The following is a 27,630-nucleotide window of genomic DNA, read 5'->3' on the forward strand; positions in this document are numbered from 1 at the left end:
TTTTAACAGTTACTCCTAGTTAGTTCTGAACTACACAGTGTTGTGAACTGGTCTTCTAAGACCCAGTGGAGCAGGTAAGACCATCTTCCGTGAAATGTGGATGTAGTAGAGAAACTGGGGAGGGCTTAGGAACTGAGAGGAGAGGAAGGCTCTCCAGGGTTGGGGAACAGTGTGTGTGTAGGGCAGGCTTCCTGGAGGGGCCCATGCTGGCCCTAGATGGGAAATGGAGCTGTCCCAGCACTAACCTAGATTTTCCTAGCTCTCATCTCATTCTCTATCCTGTGGTATGCTATTCACAAGCCAGAGGGGAATTGATGGAAAGTCCGGGTATGAAATCTGAGCCATGCAGTTCCCTGCTGTGAGGCAGTAAGGTCTCAGAAAGTTTTCTGTTTTCATTATTTCGAAAAGGCTGCACCCATAACCCAGCCCTATTTCATGGCTTTCCTCCATGGCACCCCTTTCCCCTTGTCATCGTTCTTCTTCCTCCCCTACAGACCTGCTTTATCAGAAACTTCCTTTCTCCTTTGCCCTGAATGACCCCCACCTGTGCCTCTTTCTGATACTGACCTTATTCTGGCAAACCCAGCTCCTTCTTGCTGTAATTTTTAATGGGAATAAGACTGCTGGGAGAAGCCCTCTCCCATCTCTTTCAGTTTTCCATGTTTTCTTCCTTAACAAACACCCCACTCATAAAACCTTTGGGGTCTTTTCTACTGAGGGTTGAAGCCTGTAGATGCTAGCAGAGCAGCTGCACTGTAAAGAGGGAGGTGGGTTCCTAGGGGGTGGTCCTGGGCCCAGAAGGTTTCTGACCATCATCGCTCTCCCCTTGGACCTAAACAGGGCTCTTTGCTTGTTACAATAGTAGGCATCCATTGCCTGCCCAACATTCACCTCCCTTTTCTGGCAGCAGAACACCTTTTTTCTCAGGAATTTACTCCATCCCCACTTTGAGTCCAGGTGGATTGGGTGGATTAACTCCAGGATGGACATGGACCCAGGCCTGGCAAATCAGTGCATCGGATTCCCCTTGGCCACAGTAATTGGTTCAGGGTTGGGTCTATGGGCAAAGTCCATGCTGGGTCTTATATGGGGTTGTACAGAGGAAAGAACTCTCTTTCTGGACTTGCTGTCAAACTGGAGTTTTTGGAGTCCAAGTGGGGAGAGTGTGCTGAGAGTGAGTGTAGTACAGGGGAAAAACAAAGCCAAGATGTGCACCAGAGAGAGGATCAAAGAGTGAGAGAGAGAAAACAGGTCCAGAGGATGGGGTTTGAGCCTCTGGATCCAGCCGGACCTGAAGCCAGAAGACCTACATGCAGACTTGTCTACTATATGAAATCTTACATTCTCTTTCTGGATTAAGCCAGCTTAAGCTGCAACTCAGAGTCTTGACTGATAGTTGACTTGGTGCTGGGAAGATGAGTCTCTCCACAGGGATGCCTGAGCCACAGGGAGACTGCCGTAGTCAGCTGTGAGCTCTTTCTTGTCCTATCAGCACAGCCCAGATGAGTTCTCACCAGGAACAGGTACACAACAGTCATAAACTGACAGGGTTAGTCATAGGCCCGTTGTGCTCTGAAAGCTTTGTCAGAACAGACACACATCATTTGTCCCCTTCCACACCCCGCTAGCAGCTCTCAGCATGGTCCTCAGTGAATGTGCTGTTTGTCCAGCTGATTGAGGGGCAGCACAGCCTTCCTCACCACTCAACAACTGCCTGCACACTCTCCTGCCATCCTGGTCTTGTCAGTATCACCCCACCGACCCAGTTTCCAAGTTAGAAGCCGTCGTCCTCTGCCTCTTTGATGTAATCCAGCCTCTTACTGCTTTTCCATCTCCACCACCACCTGCTTAGCTCAGACCTCAGCCTTTCTTAGGAGGAAGCCATTTGGCTCTGGAACTGACACCTACCCAGGTTGGCCTCTGTTCCTTACCTGTGAAACGGGGATGGAGCACTACACTTGAAATGTGAAATGTCTCCAAGGATTTGGATGTCAGGGGAATGTAATGGCCCTTTGAGCCATTATATTCAAAAGGAGCAGAAGAAAGACACAAAGTCACCTGCAAGAGGCAGTGGCCCAGAAAGCTTAGACATCACCTCCTGAATGTACATGAAGGCCATGTCCATCAGAAGGGAGCCTTGGCAGCCAATAGGAGCACAGAAAATGAGGCAGCCCAGAGGCACGCTTTCCTGTGGAATATCTGGACTGCATTATGGGCTTCTGTCAGTTGTGAACAAGAACACACTAGAGCCTGATGCCACTGGCTCCTCCAGCAATGTCCGAAAGCGTTGACTTCCTGTGTTTGCTAGCCAACAGGGAAAGAATGTGCTGGTCAGGCAGTGCAACCGTTTGCAATGAGTAAGCTGGCATTTGGGCTTTGTTCATCGTCCTTGTGAGCTATGAGTCAGCATCTTGGAGACTGTGAAGTCTGGCCATCAATGACACTGCATTTCTGGTTTGCAGGGCTTGGTCAGGCCCTGACCCCAGGTTCTCAAGGTCAGGAGTGTATCAGTGTGATCTAAGGGCTCTACGCCCTGAGATTCTGATTGATGAGGTCAAGTGGGACCAGGCCCTTCTACTGAACAGCTCCTCAAGGAGGCCTGGTGCACAGCCAGACTGAGACTCAGGGCCTGTGCATGGTTACCGCACCTCCCCTGGCTGCCTGTGGACCCCCTTTTCTGCCTCCTTTGAGCCTTTTCGCTTGGTGTTGCTGATTGACTTTCATGTTCACTTGAGTAATTTACATGGAGCCTGCTTTAATTCTCCTGAGACCCCCTGTAGGCTTTCATGAAATTAAACCCTCAACAACGACATTAGAGAAGGAAAAAGGGCCTCTTTATTTGGAAGTTGTGAACAAAAAGAGAACAGAACTGCTGGCAGTTGTTCTTCATCTGAATCTTCTGCTTCTGGCTCTGTAGTTGGATCTTGTACCACCGGGGCTTTGCTTCCAGGATGGGGTGACTTAGGGTGGATGTAATTGTCATGACCTTCTGGGGGCCAGGATTTGGCCGGAATGACCACCATTCCAATTACTTGGCTTTTTGCTACTGGAAAGGCTGTGAGTTGGCTCTCTAAGGATTTCTAAATGACTAAGGCTGAGCACAGAAGCAGCACCCCAAAATCCTGTGCACCAAGGTTGGGGATGAATCCTCCTCTGATCCTTCTCCCAAGACTTCTGGATCAAGAGTGGGTTTCATTCATTTGGCCCCTCTGAGGAGACAAGTGGAGAAAGGAAGTTCTATTTACTACAGGGTCTGTGACTTTATGCGACTTAGAAGGGTACAAGTATGATAATTGTAGAAAGCAGAACATCACTCTGGCTAGGCTCTGTTGACTTGGACAAAATCATCTCTAATCTATGATACATCCTGAGCCAAACTATACTCACTGTTGGAATTGGGGACATCATTCGCATGGCCTCACTTCTGTTGCTTGTTTTGCCCTCTAAATCTCTGCTATCACCTTCACCTCGTTGACTTTGCAGTTAACTTCTCTTGCTGCTTTGCAGAGAAAATAGAAGATGTTAGATGGGGACACCAACCTTTTGCTACAAAAGTCTGAATGTAAAAACATTGTCTGCCTCCTTGTCCTGGTTTCACTGGCTTCTGACTGACCAAGGCTAATGGAATCACATGCTCCTTAAGGGTCTAAAGGGTCCCACTCATTGCTCTATCTTCAAAGCCATTCCCATCAGGATTTAGGTATGTCTGCATCTTGTCCACATTTACAATGGAGTTCTTTCTTCCCTTCCCTTTGCAGCTTACCCACTAGCTTCTGCCTTATCACTGTCTTCCCAACTCACAGTCAAACTTATTGAGAGAATGAGCTATACTCCTCCCACACAGTCCTGCATCTATTTCAACAGGGTTTCTGCCTATACTCCTCCCAAATGGATCTGACCATGTTACCATTGCCCTCCACGTTCCCACACCCAGGGATACTTCAGTCCTTACTTTACTTAAACCTGCAGAAACGTTTGACACCCTCAACAGTTCCTTCCTGCAAACATCTTTCCTTGGTTTTCATGACACTGAATTATTCTGATTTTATTATCCCTCCTCTTCCCTTTCAGTCAGGGAATATTCTCCCTCTGCCTGTTCCTTACCTCAGTGATTTCTGAGGTGTCTAAAAATCATCCAGGGTGGTTGCTAGAATGCAGGTCAGATCTCAGCCCCAACACCTCATACAGGTGCATCATGACTTCTCTTGACTGCTTAGAGTAAAATGTGGGAAGAGAGAAGCAAATTAAATATAGAATTTATACTCAAAAGGGAAGCAGAACTCAAAGAGTTGGAGAATTCTCAGCCTGTAACACCTGAAAAAATGTGTTCAGGAGACAGCATCTACAATGTGGCTAAGCGACTGTTTGATCAGATTAGTAGGGACAGAAAGAAGCCAGATGCTTTCCATCAGGACACTGGAAGAACGGCCCTAAAGGTATTTTGGAGATCTTCAGGGCTGCCACATCCATCACAGGCCCAGAGTGCCAGGGCCTTGAGGGTGGTAGAACTGTTTCAAGGGAGGGGCTCAGTGTGCCTGTGGGACCTTGGGCTTGCTGCCCAGAGCCACCTCCAATTTTTGCTTCATACTTCTGGTGCAGTGCTCTTTAGCCACCCCAGCTGAGGCTCAAGTGTGGCTCAAGAGGGCCCTGGTACAGCTTGGGCTGCCACTTCAGAGGGCACAGGCTGTCAACCTTGGTAGCGAACCTCAGAGGCCCAACCCCTGACTCGTTGTGTCCAGAAGGCAGGACATGGAGTCAAAAAATATTCTTCTCAAGCTTCAAGATGTAACACTGTTTGCCTTGCTGGGTTTTGGACTTACTTGGGATCTGTTACTCCTTTCTTTTTTCCAGTTGCTCCCTTTTGGAATGGGAACATCTATCCTATGCCTGTCCCACCATTGTATTTTGGAAGCACGTAACTTGTTCAGTTTCACAGGCTCACAGGTAGAGGGCAGTTTGCCTCAGGATGAATCACACCTTTGAGTCTCACCCATATCTGATTTAGATGATATTTAGATGAGACTTAGGACTTTAGACTTTTGAGTTGATGCTGGAACGAGTTAAGAATTTTGGGGCTATTGGGATGGAATGGATGTATTTTGCATGTGAGAAGAACATGAATTTTGAGGGGTCAGGGGTAGAATGTTAAGGTTTGAATGTCTGTGTTCCCCTAAAATTTGTGTGTTGAAACTTAAGACCCAATGTGATAGGGTTAAGAGGTGGGGCCTTTAGAAGGTGGTAAGTCATGAGAGCTCCACCCTCATGAATGGGATTAGTGTCCTTTTAAAAGGACTTGAGGGAAGCATCTGGGCCCCTTTTGCCTTTTGTCCTTCTGCTATGTGAGGATGAAGCAGCAAGCCACCCTCTTGCAAGCAGAGTTGATCAGCTCTTACCAGACACCAGATCTGACGCTATGATATTGGACTTCCCAGCCTCCAGAGATGTGAGGAATACATCTCTGTCCTTATAAATTACCCAGTCCCAAGTACTTTATTGTTGCAGCATGAATGAACCAAGACAAGTCCACTTTCTATCTCCAGCCCAGTCATTGCTCCTGAGCTTCAGAACCACATATCCAACTACCTACAAGATACCTTCTTGAGGATGTGCCAGACAGTGGAAACATTCAAAGCAGAACTTCTCATCATCTCCATGCTTGCTGTCCCATGTTCCTCTTCCCTGTGACTGGCACCATTGCCCAACCAGTTATGCAAGGGAGAAACGTCGACTCCTCCTTTTCCACTGCCCCCGCCAAAGACCCAACCAATCTTCAAGTCCTGTACATTCTAACCCCTATGTAGGTCTTAAGTTCCCAGTTGCTTTTCACTTCCACTGTTCCTGCCCTGTCCAGGGCCCCCCAGATTTTCTACTGGATGGGCCTCTCCCTGGGTTATCTGCCTCTAAGTGTGCCTTCTCCCACTATTTTTCACATGGTGACTTAGGAACAGTTTCAGTCTGACCTTGTCACTCTTCTCCATTCAGGCCTTGAGTGGTGTCCTATTGCTTCTGTTTGGACAAAATCCACATCTTAGCCTGGCTCCTCTTCTGTCTCTAGGTATTTATCCTCCAGGATAATCAAATAGCTACTCCACTAGCCTGGCTCAGCACCAGAGCTAGGCAGAAAATTCAAATGATTGTAGCACAGTTTACCAAGTTTCTGTTATTGAGCTAAAATAAAAAGGGTCAGCTTGTCCAGTTGGATTCATAAGAATCAGAGATCTCAACCAGTACTAAGCCTTACTAATAACTGCAAGGATACAAATAATTGTGAGGCCCGGGTAAAGTGTGAAGTCTGAACCACAATACAGCTCCCAGGACTTTTTTGCCACATTAGGCTGTGCCCTGGCCCAGACTTATCACTAGGGGTCTCTACGTGCTACACGCGAGCCATCCTTCTTGAAAGCGTAGCTATTTGGGTCCTGAAACATCTTCACTTTTTTCTCTGCTAGTTTCATAGCTTGCACAACATTTTCCAGGGAGCCATCTGACATAAATCCATAGGTTCCAGGTTTGTTTACCGCGAGCGGTTTTAGGCAGATAGGGCACGTCTCGCTAAAAGCATTCCATAGATAAGAGAGCTTCTGCTGGCCAACATCATTAGAGTGTTTGCCAGAGGCTCTGTCCCTGGAAGGATTATGAGGGGATTTGATGGGGTCATCTTTCTGTCTTGCCTGGGGTGTCTCTCCTACAGGTAGAGAATGAACTGCAGGCATACAGCTGACCCTCTCTTTCCCCGTCCTGCTCTGCCCACCTCCAACATGCTGGTGCTTCCCAGAGCTCTGACCTTGGTCTCTTCTCTTCTTACTCTACATGTGTAATATGGAGCACCTCCTCCTCCTCCTCAGCAGCTTCCTTTCTCTAGACACAGAGTCTCCCAAAGCTACCTCTTTTACCTTTCAGCTTCAGACTCACATATTCCCCTGTTCATTGCTGCCTTAATGTCCTCCAGTCCTCAGACAAGCCCATTGGGTCCTTTCTTCCTTTCAGGGCAATGACATGCACGCCCACCTGGTTCTCATGAAACCTTGAATCATCTTGGTCCTGCCAGTTGCTAGCTCTTTGTCCTAAAGTAAGTCAGAGAGGAAAACCTCTATGAACCTAAGTTTCCACATATGTAAGGTGGGCATAATAGCCATATCTGCTTCACAAAGCTGTTGTAGGATTAAACGAGATGATGCCACTAAGAGCTTATGGCAGTGGCTGGCACACCGTAAGTGCTCAATAGTTACTGGAAGTATCTTTGGTTCCACTCCCATTCCTGTGGCTACTCATTACTGCATGTTACAAGTTCTAGCTTCTTCTTAAGGCCGCCTTTCCATTTTCACCGCCCTCTCCTCACCTCTGCCTTCACCCGTGACAACAGTTTTGGAACTGGCCTCCTCTATGCAGCTCTCTCTGATCTCCCCTATTCTCTGTAGCCAGAAAAATCCTCCTCCATTATGCACCTGATTATGTTAGTGCCTTTGAAGACTGTGTTGCTCTTGGGAGAATTCCAAACTCCTTAAAGTGGTTTAGGAGGCTGGCTATGATCTGACCGCTACCTGTCTCCCTGCAACTCCTCACCTCAAATGCTGACCACTGGGTGTGCTGAACTTTCAGCTCTTCTGACCCGCAGGATTTGGCAGAGGCATCCCCACCACTTGGAGCACTCTCTTCCTTTCTCTCCAGCCCTCCAACTCTCTCCCATGCTTTGCAATGCTCGCTCTGCCTTTCTCCCATCAGAGCACTTTCCAGCTGCGTGGCCATGCTGGGTTGCATGCCTGGACCCCTCATGGGAATGTAAACTTCAGGAGGGCAGGGGCCGTGGCTCACAGTTGTATCCCCAGCACTTAGAACAGTGCCTAGCAGATGGTAGGTCCCCAGTAGCAAATAATCTGAGTCAGTAAGTGAGTGGGCAAGATGAAAGGGGGTGGGGTGGGGAGCAAGAGGGAAATCTTGAGTCTGGGGTTTCTGGCTTGAATGAAATTGAGATGGGCAATCTTCAGGCAGGACTTCTTGTTGAGGGGTCATTGTTTTAATGAGTTCTTTGGAGTAGATGGGCCTAGGTGAGCTTGGCAGTGGGCAATGGAGATCAGGCCTCTTGAAACAGGTTTATGATTTGACAATTAGCATGGGAGATGGATCTCCTTCCCTGCCCCATCCTCAGCTGCCCTCACAGCCTAGCAGGGTTGGGGCAGAGCACGCGCCCACTCGGGGGGTGGCCATGGTGTAGGTAGGCTTCACAAGGTTTCTTTCCTCTAACATTATCTTGGGCTCTGCATGGGACAGAGATTTCACCTAGGTCTGTGAATCCTGCAACAAACTAGTGCTGTAACCCTTGTGACTGGCAGGTTTCTGTCCTGTTTCATGTGGCCTGTCCCTAAGAACCCCTTGTTGGGGATTGTTTGGGCTGTGGGTGGGTGGGGTATTCCTTGCAGCCGTCTGTAGGAAGCTACTTGCCACTACTCAGTAGTTCCTAGGCAGGAGGCTGTAGTGCCCACTAGGGAGCCATGAAGGTGAAAAGTCCCCATTTCTCAAAGCCAACTTTTGCCTTCCTCCCCAAATCAAGCACAACTTGCAACTGTGATGACCTTTTAATCGATTCTATATTGAAGGGTCTGGAGGAAGGAGGGGAAGGGAAAGGGCAGAATCGGGCCTTGTGCCTTGCTTGGGCATCTTGCCCCCTTGACCTGCAGAGGGGTGACAGGGCTGTGCCTGGGTCCTGTGGCCGCATGGAGGCTCCCTGCATCTTTGGAGGGTCTCCTGAGTTACTCCACCCTGCAGAGTAATGAGGTTTCTCTCCTCCTACTCCTGCATCTTGCAAATTCTGTTGTCATCTGCTGACTGTCAGTGGCTTTCCTCAGCCCATTTTCTGCTGGCTCTGCAGAGGGAGGCTTGATTCCACTCTGAGGGGTGAGGCTGGAGAGTGCTGGGGAGCAGGGAGTACAGAGGCTCACACTTTAGGCTGGGGCTGATTTCTCCTGAACCATCAGCAATCAAATCTGCCTCACCACTGTGAGAATTAATTCCTTCTCAAGCTCCCCTTCAGATAGGTGAGAAATCCGTGTGCCTCCTATTAACATAATTGTGACCCCGTTTCTTGTGAAATGACAGCCCTGGTCTGATTATGCTCAGGGAGCATCCACAGTCTGTGTCCTGGGCTGCGTGACGAAAGCTTCCTCACATTAACTGGCAAATGAACAGTCCCACAGTCCACATGGTCTCTGGAATCTGCAGACAATGGCCACGTTTTATCTCAGCCATAGGATGGGGTCAAGAAGAAGTTCCAGTGTAGCCCACCACAGCTAGTTAAGTACACGCCCAGCAGCATTTTAAATGAGCGGGGGAGGAGCTCTGCAAAGGCGTGGCTGGAAGGACAGTAGGCTTGGAGCTGGGGGGCCTAGGCCCAGCCTGCCATTTGCTAACTGTGCTGTTGGGGTCAAATCCCTTCCTCGCAAAGAGAGCAGAGGGCTGGTCCGTTAGACCTGATACTTGCTGATTCTAGGCTATCACTGAGTACAGCCTTAGAACCTGTAAACTGGGTTCCCATTTTCTGTGTTGGAGGAAGGGTCTAGAAAACTCTCTAGAAGACAGAGTTAAGAAGTCAAATCAGTGGTTGGATAAAGGCCTTTCCTCAAAATACGACACTGCAGAAGGCACCAGAGGAGCTCTCCTCCCTGGAGGCAAGGCAGTGGGCTGAGCTCAAAGCCTAGCCTGGCCATGTGCCTAGTTGGAGGCCCATGGAAGGCATCTGGGACTGGGGATGAGACAGTGTGTCTGTTTCCTTGTTGAGTCACTCTTGCTCATCAAATATCTATCGACCACCTCTGATGACCAAGTGGCATGAGAGAATGGAAAGAAGTCTATAGTCAGGGGAGCTCCATGTGCACCCAGCTTAATCACTAACTGGTGTGGGCCTGCGCAAATGGCTTTTCACCCCAGCGATGTGGCCATGCGCCCTACATGCCTCATCCTGTGAGGATGAATGAGGCAGTGTTCCTGACACAGAGTGGGACTCCCCCCCAATCCTGCGCCCTTCCCTCTCTCTGTGTGCACAGCAACATTTGAGACAGCACAGAGGACACTGAGGCCATTCAGAAAATGCCACTGTCTTTCAGCATGAACAGGCCCGTGGCAGGGCAGCTAGTGTGTGTCCAGAAATGCCATTGCTGCAGAGTGGAATTAACCAGGGTCCCACGGCCTGGGGACTCAGAGGAGTAAGAGGCCTGAGCAGAAAGAGTTTTATGGATGGTGCTGAGTTGAGCCTAGACTGGCTTGGCACTTGAAGGAGAAGGAAGAAAGATCATTTCAGGGCAGAGAAGAGTTTGGGTCAATGCATGGGTGCACAGAAGCTCAGAAAAGAAAGCAAATCTGTGTGGTGGGGTGTGTGCAGGTGAACACTCCATACAAGATGGTATTTCTGTGCAGGCACATGGAGGGAGGGGTGTTTGGGTCACAATGTTTTGAGCACTGGGGAGCACGGATGGCATCTGGGGGTGCTAGCCTCAGCTCTCCACTTATGGTGCAGCATGTTGGGGTAACCTTTTCTTCCCCATTCTTCTCCAGGACTAGACACCGTTATTCAGTTCTCTAGTATTTTACTTTTTGTTAGCTCTTATGCAGCAGGGGAGCTGCACTGCCTTGGTGTTGGAATAATTGTCCTCTTGTGACACTGTAAACCACCCATGCACCAGCCTTCCCACCCCCCCGGTCTATTGTTCTCCATAGTGCTTCTCTTCATCCCTGCACCATGTGTTTACTACTTTCTGTTCCCCACATTAGAATCTCAGCTCTGTGAGGATGGGGACCTCACCGCTGGGTTTGCTACTCTACCCAAAGCCCTTAGAGGACTGCAGCAACCAGTAGGCTTTTGTTGCATATCTGAAGAATCAATGAGTGAATGGCAGTTGGATGGATGGCTCCTTGATCACCTGTCGTGGGGCAGATTCATGTGGCAAGATGTCAAGTAATTCATCCAAGCCCGAATTCACATTCATTCGAGAACTTACAATGCCCAAGAGTGGGTGGTAAATATTGTAGGATGCCCAAAGCTCCCAAGATGATAAAAATGACCCTGGAGTTATACTAAGGGCCACCCTGCAGGCTGCCCCCTCCTGTGCCTCCTGATAATCATGGCTTGTTGTGGGGTGTTAACTGTCACGGTGATGGCAGGGCTGAACTGGAGCTCTCACAAAAGGAGAGTGAGTTTTTCAGAGAGCCTTGGTTCAAATGAAGTCTTTTGAAATAAGATCAAGGAGTATACTCTTTTCCCATGGTGTTGGTAGGTGTTAAGATGTGTTAGACTGTTTGCATTGCTATCTGAGGCTGGGTAATTTATAAAGAAAAGAGATTTATTTTTGCTCACGGTTCTTCAATCTATCAGTCTATACCACATAGCACCGGCATCTGCTCCTGGTGAGGCCTTAGGAAGCTTCCAATCATGGTGGAAAGTGGAAGGGACCCAGTGTATCACAAGGCAAGAGGGAGCAAGGGAGAGGAGGAGGTGCCAGGCTCCTTTAAACACACCATCTCTTTCTTGAACTAACAGATTGAGAACACTCATTACCTCAAGAACGGCACCAAACCGTTCATGAGGGATCCAACCCTATGGTCCAAACAATTCCCACTAGGCCCATCTCCAACACTGAGGAATCACATTTCAACATGGGATTTGGAGGGGATGAGCATCCAAACCATATCATGTGTCAGTAACATTTCCTGAACTTCAGTAAACACCAGAACTGATTGCTGTCCTCTGTTACTCAGGTCCATGTGGGACCAGGGATATTAAAAGGAGGGAGGATCCTGATGGAAAATGCAGCAGAATATCAATGCTTATGAATAGACATCCGATTTCCTCCCCCACCAAGTGTGTGGGACCGCTCTGTAGATAGCCTTCCCCCTCACTGCCTGAGGCTATGGGATTCCCTGCTTGGTATCCAGCCCCATGCTATGCCCTGAGGTGGTCTTGGAGGTCTTTGCTGCCAGGAGTTCACAGCTAGTTAGGGAGGTAAGGCACAAACCAGGTCGAGACAGGTAGAGGAGCAGGATGGGGCAGCAGGAGGGTGCAGGGTCAGGGTGGGGAGGTCACAGAGGCTGACTCCTGAATGCAATTGCAGAGACTCGAGATTTAGAGCAAATTTTTAAAGCTTCTTCAGACTATGAGCTTCTTCACAAGGTGAGGGAAGAAGAGAATTCCAGGCAGAGAAAACAGCAAGTGGAAAGGTGAAAAGGCAGTGTGTGTGTGCATGTGTGCCTGTGCATTGTGTGTGTGAGAGCATGTGTGCATGTGGGCCTGTGTGCACATGAGCATGTGTGTGTGTGCGTGTCCATGAGTGAACTGATGAAGTTTCTGGACAGTGATGTGAGGGAGGTGGGAAGGAGGAGGGAGGAGGTGAGAGGAGAAGGAGCTGGTGAGGGAGGTGAGGTCCAGGCTGTGAAGGCCTTGAATTTCCCTGGACATGGCAGCAGGCCCCTGAAGGGTTTAGGTAAGTGCTAGTGTGATCATTTCTATTTTAGAAAAACAATACTAGCAGCTGAAGGCCGGGCGCGGTGGTTCACGCCTGTAATCCCAGCACTTTGGGAGGCCGAGGCTGGCGGGTCACCTGAGGTCAGGAGTTCAAGACCAGCCTGGCCAACATGGTGAAACCCCGTCTCTACTAAAAATACAAAAATTAGCCGGGCATGGTGGTGGGCACCTGTAATCCCAGCTACTTGGGAAGCTGAGGCAGGATAATTGCTTGAACCTAGGAGGTGGAGGTTGCAGTGAGCTGAGATCATGCCATTGCACTCTAGCCTGGGCAACAGGAGCAACAATAGTCTCAAAAAAAAAAAAAAAAAAAAAAAGAATAGATTAGGAGGTGAGGCCAGAGGCAGGGCCACTCACTAGCAGGCTGTTGGAAGAAGCCAGAAGAGGGGGTAGCAGGAGCCCCATCAAGGCTGCGGCACTAAGGATATGGACAGGGGATGGCTGGAATGGCCATGGCCTGGTGACTGATCGACTGGTGTGTGAGGAGAGGGCCTCTCAGGAGATAAGAGTCCAGGGTCACTCCAGGGTATCTAGTCTGCTGGCAGGGAGGGGACGAGTGGGGACATTAACCAGGATGGGGCCCCTGGAGGAGACCTAGTCCCAGGGCGGGGTGGGGACGATTTGCAGCCCTGGGTGGGTGGGAGGTGAGATCACCGTATGGTATTAGGTGTCCTGTTCTGGGCCTGACCCAGGTTTGCTTGGTAAAGCCTACTTCTGGGCTCTTTCCTCTTCCCCTTTTCCTTTCTGCTTCCATTCCCTTCCTCCCTGGTACAGTTTCCCAGTCTCCTCCCTTCCCCTTCAGCAGCGATCTCAAGATAAACAGCTGGGGAAGAGGAGCTGTGGAAACGTCCAATCAGGGAAGGTTATTAACCCAGGATTCTAATTATGGTGTTGCCCTGTGTCTCTTGCATGGTAACAAGCCAGCCTCAACTGCTTGAGCTAAGAGCAAGCTCAGTGTTTCCTTCAAGCAGCATCGTGGACAGATTCCTGCCAGACCCTTCAGAGCAAGCACCCCACACCCCTAGCCCAGGGTCTCTTCATCGATAGGGGGTGATCTGTCTGCCCCTCACTGTTTTCTCCAAATAGGTAAGACCGGGTGGCCAAGCATGTGATTGGCAGCAAAGTGCACATCAGCACAGCAGCCCTGGCTTTCAGCAGCTGAGGTCAGCTGTTGAGCCAATGCATTTTATTTATCTGCCTAACTGCCACCATGACCTCTTCTGGGAGCCCTGGGCTGGGGTGGTGCCCTCACCTCTGGTATGGAGGAGGGAGCCCTGGCCCAGGGGACCTTTCTTTGAGTAACTGTTCTGTGCAGGGCTCTGGGCTCAGTGCTGAGATGCACCATGGATCAGACAGAGGCTCACGGACCTCAGCCATTTCTTTGGCATGAGGTCATTGCAGCTCAGAGGAGGGGCTGTTGCCCTTAACTGCATGTGTCTGTGTGAGTGGAGTGGGGAAGGTTCAGAAAGGTTGCTTCTTCTTATTGCTCGTTTCTAAGTTGCTTCCAAAGCCCCCGATGGGCTTCTCAGCTCTCTCAAGAGGAAGGCAGAAGAGAGTCAGAGAGAGATGGGACAATGGAAGCACAGGTTGGAGGGATGTGATTGCTGGCTTGAAGATGGAGGAAGGGCCATGAGCCAAGGAATGCAGGCGGCCTCAAGATGCTGAAAAAGGCAACAGAACAGATTCTCCCCTAGAGCCTCCAGAAGGAGCGCAGCCCCGCCAATACCTCGTTTTTAGTTCAATGAAACTCATTCAGACTTCCGATCTCCAGAACTGTAAGATAATAGGTTTGTGTGTGTTCAGCCACTAAGTTTGTGGTACTTTGTTATAGCAGCAACTGGAATCTAATGTCAGGGGCCAGATTTCAAGATGCCGTAAGCCATGTCAAGGGGTTTGGATTTTGTTCTGTAGGGCTCAAGGCTTATCACTACTTAGGAGTCTGTGTATGTTAAGCACATAAGCTTAGATTATGAGGGTTTGAATACCACCCTTGCCAATAACCAGCTTTCTCAAAGCTGCAGCATTTTCAGCTCCAAAAGTGGGGAATCATAGTTCTCATCTCATTGGGCTAGTGTAAAGATTAAATGAGATGATACCTGTAAGGTGTTTAGCCCAGTGTAGGCCAGGAAAGTGATTGTTACTTTTACTTGCTTGGCAACCTTAGGTAGCATAATGCCTCATCTGGCGGCTTTGATCATGGCGTCTGCCCAGGGAAGGTATAGCAACCCCCCTCCAACCCCCTTACCCCCCAGGAATAAGTGAATTTGTGATATGATTGTATTAGTCCATTTTTATGCTGCTGATAAAGACATACCCAAGACTGGGTAACTTATAAAGAAAAAGAGGTTTAATGAACTCGCAGATCCACGTGGCTGGGGAGGCTTCATAATCATGGTGGAAGGCAAAAGTCATGTCTTACATGGTGGCAGACAAGAGAGAAAAGAGAGCCAAGTGAAAGAGGTTTCCCCTTATAAAACCCTCAGATCTCATAAGACTTATTCACTATCACCACTACCACGAGAACAGTATGGGGGAACCGCCCTCATGATTCAATTATCTCCCACCAGGTCCCACCTACAACATGTGGGAATTATGGGAGCTACAATTCAAGATGAGATTTGGGTGTGGACACAGCCAAACCATATCAATGATGAACTGGAAAAGAATTGAAGGGTGTGCCCCTATTGGCCTGGCATGTGGCTGTCTGCCCACCCATGGTGGGAGCAGGTGCCTATTCACCCTGCTCACCTAGCCCCTGCTTCCCTCAGCTCCCCATAGGCATGTCTGCATTCCTGTGCCCCTTATGGGCTGTATTCATTTCTGGCCCCTGCACTGTGCTCCAGGCATAAGCTATTTTAGTGACAAGTTCCTTGAAATGCTACACCTTCCCTGCCCACCCAGACAGAGACCTCTCCAGGCCCAGCTGTCAAGTATCGATTTCCCCTTTAAATATTACTGCAGCCCAGGAGCATGTATGGATTAATTGACGAGGCTAGGCTTGTACCTGCACACTTCATTAACAGCTGCTACTAATTAGTGGAGTAGTCATTTAGAGACCTACTGGGGTTTTGAGGATAATAGTTTTATTTATTTTTTTCCATGACTCTTAAGCATACAATAAATTGGGGAGTGAAATGCCATGGGCCCAAGTTTGGATGGGAGTCATGGGGCAGCCTGTGCTCTGGATCTGCCCTAAGAACACAACAGAAACTAGGACATCACCACAGTGGGACCCAGAGTTAAGCGGCCCTTCAGGTCATCTGGTCTACTATATGTGGCTACTGTGGCTGGGACTGGGATAGGGGCAGGGCCTCATTCTCAAGGTCACACAGGGACAGGGAGGCAGACCTGGGATGAGCACCCAGGGCTGCTGGCCTTGTTGCTGGCCAGGGCTCTGTTTGCTAAATGGGGACTCTGCCGCATACATTTGGAGAACCCAAATGTGGGAGGATAGACCAAGCTCATGGCCACGTCCTCCGCCTGCCCCAATCTTACCCTCTTTTCCCAAGAGGGTGTTGCCCTTCCTTTCCCATTTCTGGGCCTCCTCCCATCCCATCCACATCACTCCACCCTTCCCACTCCCACTGGAGTCCTGCTATACCTTGCTGCTGGAACCCCTTTTTCTGTCCTTAGCATCTCCAAATGGACTAGACTCGACAAGCAAACAGTCTGCAGTGGACCCCTTGGGTCATCCATTCTGATGGAAACAGTGAGTCGAATTAATCCTAAGTCTTTGAATTTGGGCTACTCATTGACTCTCTCAGCTTTATCCTCACCAGCTCATGGTGAGGCTGAATGCACAGTAGTAAAGGGGACCAAGCATGGGGATGGCATGGAAAGAGTGGTTCCTCAGCAGATGGTAGTGCCTGTGCCCCTGTGCTCCTTAGGGAGGTGGTCTGTGGGCAAACCATCGTGCTTTCCTCAGGCTGACCTGGACCATTCACTGAGTGCACGTTGAGAGATTTTACAGCAAAGGAATAGAGACTTATAGAGACTTGACTTATTATTTCCTTCTTGTTTTACAGATAATGACAGTAATTCGCATCACTAACCTTCCCTGAAAGCTTACTACATGTCAGGAAGTGCTATTCTAAAAGGGCTTCACATGTATTCATTCATTTCATCCTCCTGACAATCCTGTGATACAGGTGTTTTTGTTATGAGTCCTATTTCAACAAAGCACAAGTGAATACAGTAAGTTGCCCGTGGCTACACAGCATGTCAGAGGTAGAGGTGAACCCGGCATTCCAGCTCACAGTCCAAACCCTTAGCCACGGAACTCTCTGACCTCTTAGAGAGGTCGATTTCCTGGCTAAGGGAAACCCCTGTTCCCCAGTGTGTGCTGTGTGGGTGGCAGCTGTGTTGGTGCCACAGGTCTGTGTCCCCTGGACATCTGCTGATTTATCCGGGGTGGTCACTTGAAGCAAAGACTGTCCACACTATATAATTTGAGTGATATGGCTCAAAAGTGCGGGCTGGGCCAATCTGAGTTCGATCTGGGGAAAGGTATGAAAGAAGCTGAGCCTGGAGGTGGGTAGAGTTGATGAGCTTGACCTAGGGCTGGAGACTCATCATGATCACCAGCTATGAGTGATTGGAGGAAGCCAGCTGGCTGAGAAAGGAGACAGAAAGGTGAATGAATGCCATGAGAGAGACCTCAGTCCTGGAAGGGCAGCTTTCCCCTACAGTCTCAGGGTGCTGGCTCCCATGGAGTCAGGCTGCTCCTGGCCTCCTGTTTAGGTATTCTGGTGAGGATGTGCTTTATATCAAACTACAGATGCCCATTGATTTACGATGGGGCCATATACTGATAAACCCATGGTAAGCTGAAAATACTGTCAGTCAAAAATGCACTTTTGGGCTGTGCATGGTAGCTCATGCCTGTAATCCCAGCACGTTGGGAGGCCGAGTCGGGCAGATCACTTGAGCCCAGGAGTTTAACGTGGCGAAGCCCTGTCTCTACAAATATACAAAAATTAGCTGGGTGTGATGGTGTATGCCTATAGTCCCACCTACTCAAGAGGCTGAGGTGGGAGGATTGCTTGAACCCAGGAGGTGGAAGTTGCAGTGAGCTGAGAAATGCCTCTGTACTCCAGCCTGGGTGACAAAGTGAGACTCCATCTCAAAAAAAAAATGCACTTTTTATTTAAGATATTTTCAACTTTTGATGGGTTTATTGAGATGTAGCCCCATTGAAAGTTCAGGAGAGGACTGAATGTGTATTGCTTTTGCACCATTGTAAAGTCAAAAAATCCCAGGTGGAACCCTCATAAGTTGGGGACTGTCGGTAATTTCTCTCTTTGAGTCTCTCTGGTTGAACTCGCAGCCTCTCTCTTCCTTGGAAACAGAATAACTCTAATATGAACAGTTATCTTATCAGCTCTATAGAGTAGCACCAATGTGAGGTGGGGCTCAACTCCATCTATCAAGCAAGGCTTCTGCACAAGAACAATATCCTTTTTAAAAATTTGTTTTAATTTTTTTTTTTTGAGACATAGTCTCGCTATGTCACCCAGGCTGGAGTGCAGTGGCATGATCTCAGCTCACTGCAACCTCTGCCTCCCGGGTTCAAGCGATTCTTGTGCCTCAGCCTTCTGAGTAGCTTGGACTATGGGCGCGTGCCACCATGCCTGGCTGAATTTTGTATTTTTAGTAGAGATGGGGTTTTGCCATGTTGGCCAGGCTGGTCTCTAACTCCTGACCTCAAGCAATCTGTCTGCCTCAGCTTCCCAAAGTGCTGGGATTACGGACGTGAGCCACTGCACCCGGCCCACAATATTCTTAAATATAACTGGCATAGATGGGTAAAGTACTCTGGACACAGTGCCCAGCTGAACATAAACATCTGTACTAGTCAGGGTAAGGATGAGGTAAGTGGCTTATGGAGGACTGAAGTTTCTTTCTTTTTCACTGCACAGTTCTAAAGTGAATGGCCAGGGTTGGCAGGGCAGTGCTGAGCCTCACAGCCATCCAGGGATTGGGGTCCTCCAAACCACTGCCCCACCATCCTTGAGACCCTTGGTGTAATCTCAGTGTTGGAGCAGGGAGGTGCCATGCCTGGTCCTGCCACAGCTGGAAGAGAGCATGGAGGGGCACCTGATGTCCCAAGTCATCTCCACTCCCCTTCCACTAGTGAGAACTTAGCACATGGTCTCACCTAGCTGCAAGGGAGCCTGGGAAGTGTAGTCTTTTTCAGAGTTGGCAACTGCTGTCTGTAAAGGGCTGGATAGGAAATAGTTTCAGCTTTGTGGGGCCATATACTCTCCATTGCAAGTACTCAACTCTGCCCTTGTAGCTTGACAAAGACCATAGAAAATATGCAAATGAATGGGCATGGCTGTGTTCCAATAAGACTTTATTCATGGACTCCTAAATTTGAATTTAATATCACTTTCATGTGTCATCAATATTATTCTTTTTTTCCAACCATTAAAAAGTGTAAAAGCCTTTCCTAGCTCATGGCCGTTCAAAACTAACTAGTGGTTTGGAACTGGCTGGTGGGTCATAGTTTGTGGACTTCTGACTCCTGGTCTGGACAGCGATTTTGGGCTTGGCCACACTTTGTTAGGGGAGATTGGATTTTGGCAGAGAGTGAGCGATCTCTACCACTACGTCTACTGCAGGGCTTGCTTAGAGAGAGGTGTCTTAGCAAAAGCAGGGTGCCCCCTGCCCCCTTCTCTGTACAAACAGAAGAGCAGAATTCACTTGGTGAGGGGGGAACAGCAATGCCCCTCTTCCCAAACTTTTCAGGAGCAAGGGGAGGGAGAAGCCATGGTGGGGGGCTCCTGATGTCAACAGGTTGTAGAGAAAGTGTCAGCTCAGCCCTGGAAGGTCTTCTGCAATGCCAGATAAGGAGCTACAAGCTGGCCTCCCAGGGCTAGAGGCTTGCCATCCAGAAGCAACCAGCGGCTGGGCCGGGAGACAGGTGGCAGCACCCCCATCCCTGCTACTAGGGCTCAAGGACACCATGCAGGAGGTGGCTTTCAACCAGACAATGACAATTTTTAATAATTAGAAAGTGACAGCTACAAATATAAAATGTGACCAAAAAATCTGTCAGAAGGAATGAAGATACCATTATTTGAAGAGTGTTTTCCTCCATCCCTCCCTCCTCCTCATCAACTCCCAATGTGGGGGTGGGAGCTTGCCAAGCAAAGCTGATATCAGTTATTGAGAAAAATAGAATCATTCCCTGTTTGTACATCACTGAGTTTATACTGTCAATCAAAACAGCTACACATATTTTTAGCATCAACTGCCAATTATTCTTTCTGTCTCAGAATAATCAGAACCAAAGACTGAAAAATTCACTTAAGGGTGTTAGACATGGAGTCAGGCCAGCCTGGGTTCTGACAGTCCTGGTTCTGACAGGTCCTGTGTGACCTCCACAAGCCCTGTGACCCCTCTGGGACTCAGTCCCCTCATTTGTCAAATGGAGGAGAGTAAAACCTATTGTGCAGGTTCGTGGGGAGAAGCCCATTTCGGAGCATTGCTCAACAGCAAAGGATGACTTTAGTTTGTCTCTGTGGGTCTCAGTCTTCTCGTGTGTCAAGTGGATGGTTGGACTCCATGATCTGTTTCCACTGTGACTTTCAGTCGCTGCACCACTGATGGTTGAGTCTCTGACTTTGGAGGAGAATGCTGCCCTTCACAGGTGCTTCTTTCTACAGGGAGGTTTTGAAGAAGATGAAAGCAGTGGCTTGATTAGGAACTTCCTGCTCTTCAACCTTCCCAGGCTTTCTGGGCACAGTGCAAGCTGACCTCCTCTGGGATGTCCTCCTAGATTTCTTCAGGCACAGGCCATCTCTCCTGTTTATTAGGGACCCGTGTATTTAAACTTGACCTCTACCCCAGCCTTTGTTGTCTACTTTCTGGTCTGCCTGGGGAATTTGCTAGAGGTAAACTCCCTGTAGCCACTCTGATAACTGATCCTAACCCTAACCCTCACCCTAAGCCCACCTGGAGCTCTGTGAATGGGTCTGACATGCACACACACATCATAGCTCTGTCGGCGACACTGGCCCCACTTACTGGCTTTAACCCTCCCTGAGCCTCAGGTCCCAACATTTGCCTTAAGGCACCCTTGCTTAAACAGCCCATTCAGACACACTCACTTGTTTGACCTTGGTGTTGGACACAAGGAGCCCTGCTGTTCAGTTGCTCCTCTCATCCCATAAGTGTGGGCTGGAGGTGCCCTGTTTTGGGGCTAGCCTGGGAGAGGCCACCAATCTCACATGCCTGTCATGCAAAGGAGACAAAGCACCCAGATCTCCCAGCCAGGAGCCCCTGTTGATAGCCATGTCCTCTTGGACCCTGGGGTGACGTGGAGAGCACAGCAACCAGCTGGTCCACAGACCGTGCAGACGTTCTATTGGCCTCACATTGCCCACTGGCTTCGTGCAAGCAGGAAATGCTATCTCAAGTGGAGCTCTGTCCCCTCTTCCTGTCACTGTACAAATGATGGATCAATGACCACCCTGGGAGAGTGATGTTCTTAGGGAACATGTGAGAGAGCCAGCCAATGAAATGTATAATGCAAAATTAAGGATGCTGGTCCTTGTTCACCTCATTAACCATCTAAACTCTTAGTATGTGTGAGGCATGTTGTGGTATGTGACAGCATTTAATTCATCCATTCATTAATTCCTTTTCCATTCAGTGTTTGTGGTCTGTCCATAGGTGTTGGGAATATGGGGCAAATAAGACAAATAGTTCCAGGTCTGGTGGCGCTTACAGCCTGGGAGGAGCTACACAATGAAACAATTACAAAAGCATTTGATTTGACGAGCCTGCAGCCTGGGCTGTGGAGTTGAAGGTGGCCAGACAATGGTGAGGGCCAGGGTATAGGGCAGAGCACCCAAAATGTTCCAGGCAGAGAGAAAAGAAAACAGGTGGGAGAGCTGAAGGGAGATGCTTGTGTCTGGATACCAAAGCATGGGGGTGGGCAAGGTGGTTCTCCAAGGGGGTAGGGAGGGGCTAGACTCTAGGGGCCCCAAAAAGCATGACAATAGTGTTTGAACTTTAGCTGGAGAGCAAGGGAAGTCCCCAAAGCTTTTCTGGCAGTTGTACAGCAGGACAAGTTTTCACTTAGAAGGACTCCTCCAGCTGCTGTGTCCAGGGTACATGGATAGGAGGAGAGTGGAAACTGCTGAGGTCACCCAGGTAAGACATGTGGAAAGCTAGAGCCATTAGGATGGCATGCAATGGGTTGAGATCGGTTCAAGAGCTCTAAGGAGGAAGAGCCCACAGGATTTGGATATAGGGAGAGGGAGCATCAAGACTGTTCTTAGGTCTCCCTTTTGAGTGTCTGGTTGGACGGTGGCGTCTTTAATTAAGATTGGAAACACAGAGGGATAAATGGACTTTGGGAGGAAGATGATTGCCTGTGAGACCCCCAGGTGGGTCTGGAGTTCAGGAGAGAGGTCTGGGGCAGATAGTGATCAAGATGGGAAGTCGGAGGTATAGAGGTGGAGACGGGCTCCTCTGGAGGGCTCAAGTCTTCCAGAGAGGAGTGGACAGGGCCTGGCATGGATCACTGGAAACTTTTCTCAATGCTCCACAGCCTCTATGTACAGTCCTCAAATTATATGCCAATTATGCACCAATTATATAACCCTTCTTGGTCAACCAGAGGAAAAGAAAGATAAAACTAAGAGAGTGTAGTAGAAATGGGGGAGGTTAAGGGTCATTTTTTTGCCTTCTCCTACTCATCCCAGCCACAGGGCCTTTGCACTTGTTGCATGAATTCCTGGACCACCCCTTCCCCAGATGTTGGTCTGGCTGGCTCCTCAGCCTTCAGGTCAAATGTCACCTTCCCTGATAGCCATCTGATTACCCTGTCCCAAACTGTGCTGCTCTCAGCTGTCCCAGCCACAGCAACTGATTTGACTTTCTTGTCTTCTTGTCCTACCTTCCTTCCTTCCTCCCTCCCTCCCTCACTTCCTCCCTTCCTTCCTTCCTTCCTTCCTTCCTTCCTTCCTTCCTTCCTTCCCTCCTTCCTTCCCTCTTTCTTTCCTTTCTTCCTCTCTCTCTCTCTCTCTCTCTCTTCTTATTTTAGAGACAGGATCTTGCTGTGTCGCCCAGGCTAGAGTGCCATGGCACAATCACAGCTCACTGGAGCCTTGAACTCCTGGGCTCAAGTGATCCTCTCAGCTCAGCCTCCTGAGTAGCTGGGACTATACGTGTGCACTACCACACCCAGCTAATTTTTTTTTTTTTTTTTGAGACAGGGTCTCACTCTGTTGCCCAGGCTGGTCTTGAGCTCTTGGGCTCAAACAGTCCTCCTGCCTTGGCCTCCCAAAATGCTGGGATTACAGTCCTGAGCTACCAAGTCCTTTGCTCATTCCTTTGTGGGTCTTTTTTCTGTTTCTCCTGACCATGTAAAACCCCTGAAGGCAGGGACCTTATCTGTGTATTGTTCACAGCTGCTTCTCCAGCACTGTCCTTGGCTTGAGTTATTCTCAATTCCCCTTCCCTTCTCCTCCAACAGGCATGCAGCAGCAACACATGTGTGTGGGCTCTAGCTCTTGTGCCTCTCCTGGGTCTGTTCCTGTCCCTCAGCCACTGCTGTCTGAACTGCATCCATGAGCAGGTCTTGCTTGGGTCACTTGTCTTTCCTCCCTCTGCTCTTCTATTGTATGATTCACATGGCAGCCAGGAGCCTCTGTCTAAAATGGAAATCTTCTCATGTGGTTCCCTTACCTACACTCTGCAAACGACATCTGAAAACAACTCCAAATGCCGTATGACCCTTTTCAGAGGCCATGATAGTCTAGCCCTTGCCTACCCTGCCAGTTTTCTCTCCTCCTTTGCCCTTCACTCTGCGTCAGACACATGGAGCTCTCAGCGTCTCCAGTGTGCTGCTCCTCCCTCTCACCTGGGTGCCTCTGCTCTGCCTGCCATAGCTTGTAGGAGCTCTCTAAATACTGAATGCACACATGACAAATCCAGGACAACAAAGGGAGAAAGGATACTCATTGGGACAGATTTGCCTCCTGTTTCTCTCCCTTTCCAGGGAAGCCTAGCAGAGCGTCTTACATTCTCACTGCAGGTCTCTCGTAAGCCCCAAACACTTTCCCTTGTCCTAGCATTTGATGCCTGAGTCCCTCAACCCAGTACCTTGAACTGCCTCCAGGGCCCCAGCCATCCCAGGCAGCCTTAATTAATTGTAAAATTGATTAAGCAGCCCCCTTTGTTAGGCTGGGCTGGTGTTTATTTGTATTTTCATACTATTATCCTTTTATACTTCTCTGGGCGCCTTCAGCTCTCTACTGACACCTTTTATTGGGGAAATGTTAATTTAAAAATCATCTATAATGCAGGTGTCACAAATCAAAGCTGTTCGGTAATGAGTTGCTCTTATGTCGTATAAAAACAATTAATTAAAACCCTTTCTGAGAGAGCCGTGCCAGCAGATTTATGTTTCCCAGTGTCTCCCCCTCGACCTTCCTTTCTAAGGACCCTCATGCACTCAGCTGGCTTCTATGGGGGTATGGTTTCCTCCCACCTCTCCCCAGGAAATAGAATTCCAGCCCGGTGGAGTGGAGAAGGCTCCAGGAGGGCGTCGGGCCCAACCACCTTGCGTTATGGAGCACAGAGAGGGATTCTGCTGTGGTCACATAGCACCTAAGTGGTTGCAGCAGCCTCAGAACAGGCTGTCCTGCCTGAGTCGTTCCTCGTGATCACTGCTGGCGTTTCTCCTGCTGGCCTTCATGGCAAGGCTGATGGCCAGGGCACACAGGAGCAACGGCACTGCTGGTCTAGCAAGTACCACTCTCTGGCCTGCTCCACAGCCCGGCCACAGCAAGGGAGGTGAGTCATTCTCCGCTGACAGATGCAGTCACTCCACAGATGCTTTCCATCTTTGCTAATTAATTCTGCACTTAAGATAATCCAAGGGCTCTAAGTTCTGGTCTTGCCTCTACTCCTGACCCATCCTGTAACCTTGGGTAAATCACTTCCCCTTGGTTGGGCCTCAGCTTCTCTCTCTACAAAATGGGTATATTGATTGAAACCAGGGGTTGCAAATTCAAATACTCATAGGTACCATCAATGAATAAGGCAGTCCCGGCGGGACCTGGGAAAAACCATAGAGGAGCATGCCCTATCTGAAGGAGACCACCTCTATCCCTTTCAGATGCTTGTGGCCATAAGAAAAAGCAGGCCTGGCGTTGCTCTTTGCAGAGAAACTGGAAATCCAGCTTGGGGTTTCAAAATGTTGATGAGCGGGCCAGACCTTGCTCAATTTGTCCTCAGAGCCCCTTCTTCCACATCCCCTGTTCTGCTCTCAGGGGCTGGCCATGTCTCTCTGTGACCTACTGAGGTTCCAGGGTGGCTGGGTCATCCTGGCTCCTGGGCTTCGTCACCAGCACCTCCTTCCTCCCTCCTTACCTCCCTAGGGTCTAGAGCTGGTGCTGGTCTCTGGGTTGCCTTGCTGGTTTCTCCTCACCTGTGTCTCCAGTCCTCATGTTAAATTCCCTCTGTTTTAAATACCTCCCATGGTTTATGGGTTCCTGGTTGGATCCTGACTGATACATTTCATAATTTTATTAACAGACATTATTATTAATGAACACAATGAAGAGCAAAAATCTTGTCCGTGGGTGGCTGGATAGGGTATGAAGATTCCAGGTTATAATTTGGTTCAGGGTAGACCTGGGAAATCAGACGGTATCAGTCACTGTAGAAGCTTCCAGTCTTATATACTCTCCAGGGCATCTGCATCTGGCCCTTCTGCCTCCACTAAAAAGTGACCTCTCATTCTCCATTGCTGGGACTTCTTCTGGCCCTGCCCTGCTCACCCTCTCCCTGGTTGGTGGTTCTTTTTTTGAGACTAGGCCTTGCTTTCTCACCCCAGGCTGGAGTGTAGTGACGTGATCACAGCTCCTTGCAGCCTCGACCTCCTGGGCTCAAGTGATCTTCCCACCTCAGCCTTCCAAGTAGCTGGGACCACAGGCACACCACAATGCCTGGCTAATTTTTTTTTTGTATTTTTATAGAGATAAGATCTCACTATATTGCCCTGGCTGGTCTCAAACTCCCGTGTTCAAGTCATCTGCCTGCCTCGACCTCCTAAAGGGCAAGCGGGATTACAGGTGTGAGCCATTGTGCCTGGCCTGGTGACTTCTTTTATGAAGGGGGATTGGGTGGGCTCCATGCAGGCAAATGACTCTCTCCCTCCCCTGACCTCTCCAGCCTTCTCCACAGCCCAGCCACAGTGAGGGAGTCATCAGCACTGGAACCCGGGGTCCACGGCCTTGGAGGATCCGGACCCTCCGCATTTGAGGAACTTGGCCTTCAGTCAGGGAGCCAAGAAGTCCCTGCCAATCAAGGAGGGGGTGTGGGCTGGTGGGGGGGGGGCAGCCTTGGGGCACGGGAGCTGATAGACCAGACTCAAGAGTTCTACTCCTGACTTCTAGATTGTTCCACCTCCATATGGAATATGTTCCTTCCATCTAACACTGTGTGATTTGGGGACCATCCAACTCAAATGAAAGAAGCCAAGCCATGCAGCGAGCCACCCCCTCCCCAATGTGGGGTACCCCCTGCCCCCGCCCAGCTCCCCTGCCCTCCCAGCTGAGGGGGGATCGCCGCCTGGTGATCTCAGCCTCCCCTCCAAGTGGGCTGTGAAGTGTCTAATCCAGGCTTTCATCTGGCATCCACAATTATAATGTCAAGATTGAATAATCTGCCTTTATCTCCCGGGTGACAGCCATGTAGAAACTTCAAAAGAAACAGTTTTGCTGGCATCTAACGGCTTTTGTTAATTACTATATCCCAAAGAAAATGAAATAAAGGAGGGAGAAAAATGATATTTCTCTGTGACAACTTTGTAAAAATATCAGTGATGAAGTGGTGCGGTTTAAGGGCTTTAAGTATTCATGCGGCTGAGATGGGGCCTCTACCCTCCCGCTGGGAAGCTTAAGCGTGCCCGAGGGTGCATGCACACACACACTCACACACTCACACATGCACACACGCACTCGGATCTGCTCCCAGACCCCTTCAAACACCATACATGTGGTTATGGGCACTCATCTTCATAACCCTCTCACAAAGTCCTGTGCTACACACACGCACACACACACACACTCATACGAGTAGAGTACTCCTTCCTTCATTGGATGGTTCAGAACCCTTCCTATGACCCCAGTTGCTGCTAGGGACACAGGCTTGAAAGAGGGTCCTTTCAGGGTAGCGGGACAGCGAGGAAGACACACAGGCAGACAGTAGCTCGTTTTCTGTTTTCTCTTGTGTCACACTGCACAGGTGTCATGTGCCATGTGGGCACCTAAGAACCATGTGATGGAGGGAGCAAAAGCACAGGCTGTGGGCCGGGCTGCCTGGATTTGAATCCTGGGGATATCTTGCTGTAGCTGTGTGACCTCGGGCAAGTCATTCAACTTCTCTGTGCTGGAATGTCTTCACCTGTAAAATGGGGTCAATAATCGGGTGTCCTGGACAGGAGGAGGTACAAGATGAGGTAAATGAAGTAACACAGTTAAAGTGGTCCCCAAATGTTAGCTGTCATTTAGAGGTGTGCAGAGTGGCTGACTCTGCCTGAGGAGGAGTGGCCTGGCGTTACCAGAAGGCTTCATGGAAGAGGCGATATTTGAGTTTGCAGCCTTGAAGGTTAGAGGAAAAGGAGCACATATCCCAGGCAGAAAAAACAGCTCATGCAAAGACTTACAGGTATGGTGGTGCATTCATGTCCCATCCGTGGTGAACATCTGGTGTGACTGGAGAACAGTGTGAGGTATCAGGAGGAGAACTGGATGGGTAAAGGCTCTGGAAAGGTAGGCGGGATGTACCTTAGTGGTGACAGACCTTGGGTTTCATTGAGAGGGTGGAGTTTCCCTCGAGGAGCTGGGGGCTGCTGAAGGGCTGTGGTCTGTTGAGGACCCCCATCAGATGGGGGGAGCCATGGAGAATCGGGGGCAGGTGGGCATGGCCTGGAGTGGGCCTGGAAACAGGAGACCAGGCTGTTCTGAGAGGTCATGGGGCACCCCCACACTCACTCGCTGACACACACATACACACTCACACGTGTTCATAAACACCCACAGGCTCACAGTTCCACACCGGTACACACATACTTTCCTTTCCTCTTGTTTCCCAAATGG

The 27,630-nt window shown here is 49.5% G+C and overlaps 1 long non-coding RNA gene across 1 annotated transcript, besides 3 other annotated features; it reads left to right on the forward strand.

Annotated features, from left to right (window-relative positions):
- Positions 1,830–3,029: an enhancer, noted in NCBI's record as "MED14-independent group 3 enhancer chr10:80015479-80016678 (GRCh37/hg19 assembly coordinates)". NCBI's record gives its function as "activates an origin of replication core promoter dependent on BRD2, BRD4, P300/CBP and CDK7 cofactors, and independent of MED14, by STARR-seq in HCT116 cells {active_cell/tissue: HCT116}" and the evidence as "EXISTENCE:reporter gene assay evidence [ECO:0000049][PMID:35650434]".
- Positions 13,121–13,671: an enhancer, noted in NCBI's record as "H3K27ac-H3K4me1 hESC enhancer chr10:80026770-80027320 (GRCh37/hg19 assembly coordinates)". NCBI's record gives its function as "activates a minimal SCP1, AML or CMV promoter by ChIP-STARR-seq in primed H9 embryonic stem cells {active_cell/tissue: H9 hESC(primed)}" and the evidence as "EXISTENCE:reporter gene assay evidence [ECO:0000049][PMID:30033119]".
- On the forward strand, positions 13,450–26,321 carry LINC00595 (long intergenic non-protein coding RNA 595). The gene is made up of 3 exons (NR_073447.2): positions 13,450–13,594; positions 25,507–25,602; positions 25,703–26,321. It is a non-coding gene; the product is annotated as a long intergenic non-protein coding RNA 595 (long non-coding RNA).
- Positions 13,672–14,220: an enhancer, noted in NCBI's record as "H3K27ac-H3K4me1 hESC enhancer chr10:80027321-80027869 (GRCh37/hg19 assembly coordinates)". NCBI's record gives its function as "activates a minimal SCP1, AML or CMV promoter by ChIP-STARR-seq in primed H9 embryonic stem cells {active_cell/tissue: H9 hESC(primed)}" and the evidence as "EXISTENCE:reporter gene assay evidence [ECO:0000049][PMID:30033119]".
- Positions 26,322–27,630: the final 1,309 nt, after the last annotated feature.

The sequence above is a fragment of the Homo sapiens genome, chromosome 10 (assembly GCF_000001405.40).
Source record: "Homo sapiens chromosome 10, GRCh38.p14 Primary Assembly".
In the NCBI taxonomy this organism is placed as follows: domain Eukaryota; kingdom Metazoa; phylum Chordata; class Mammalia; order Primates; family Hominidae; genus Homo; species Homo sapiens.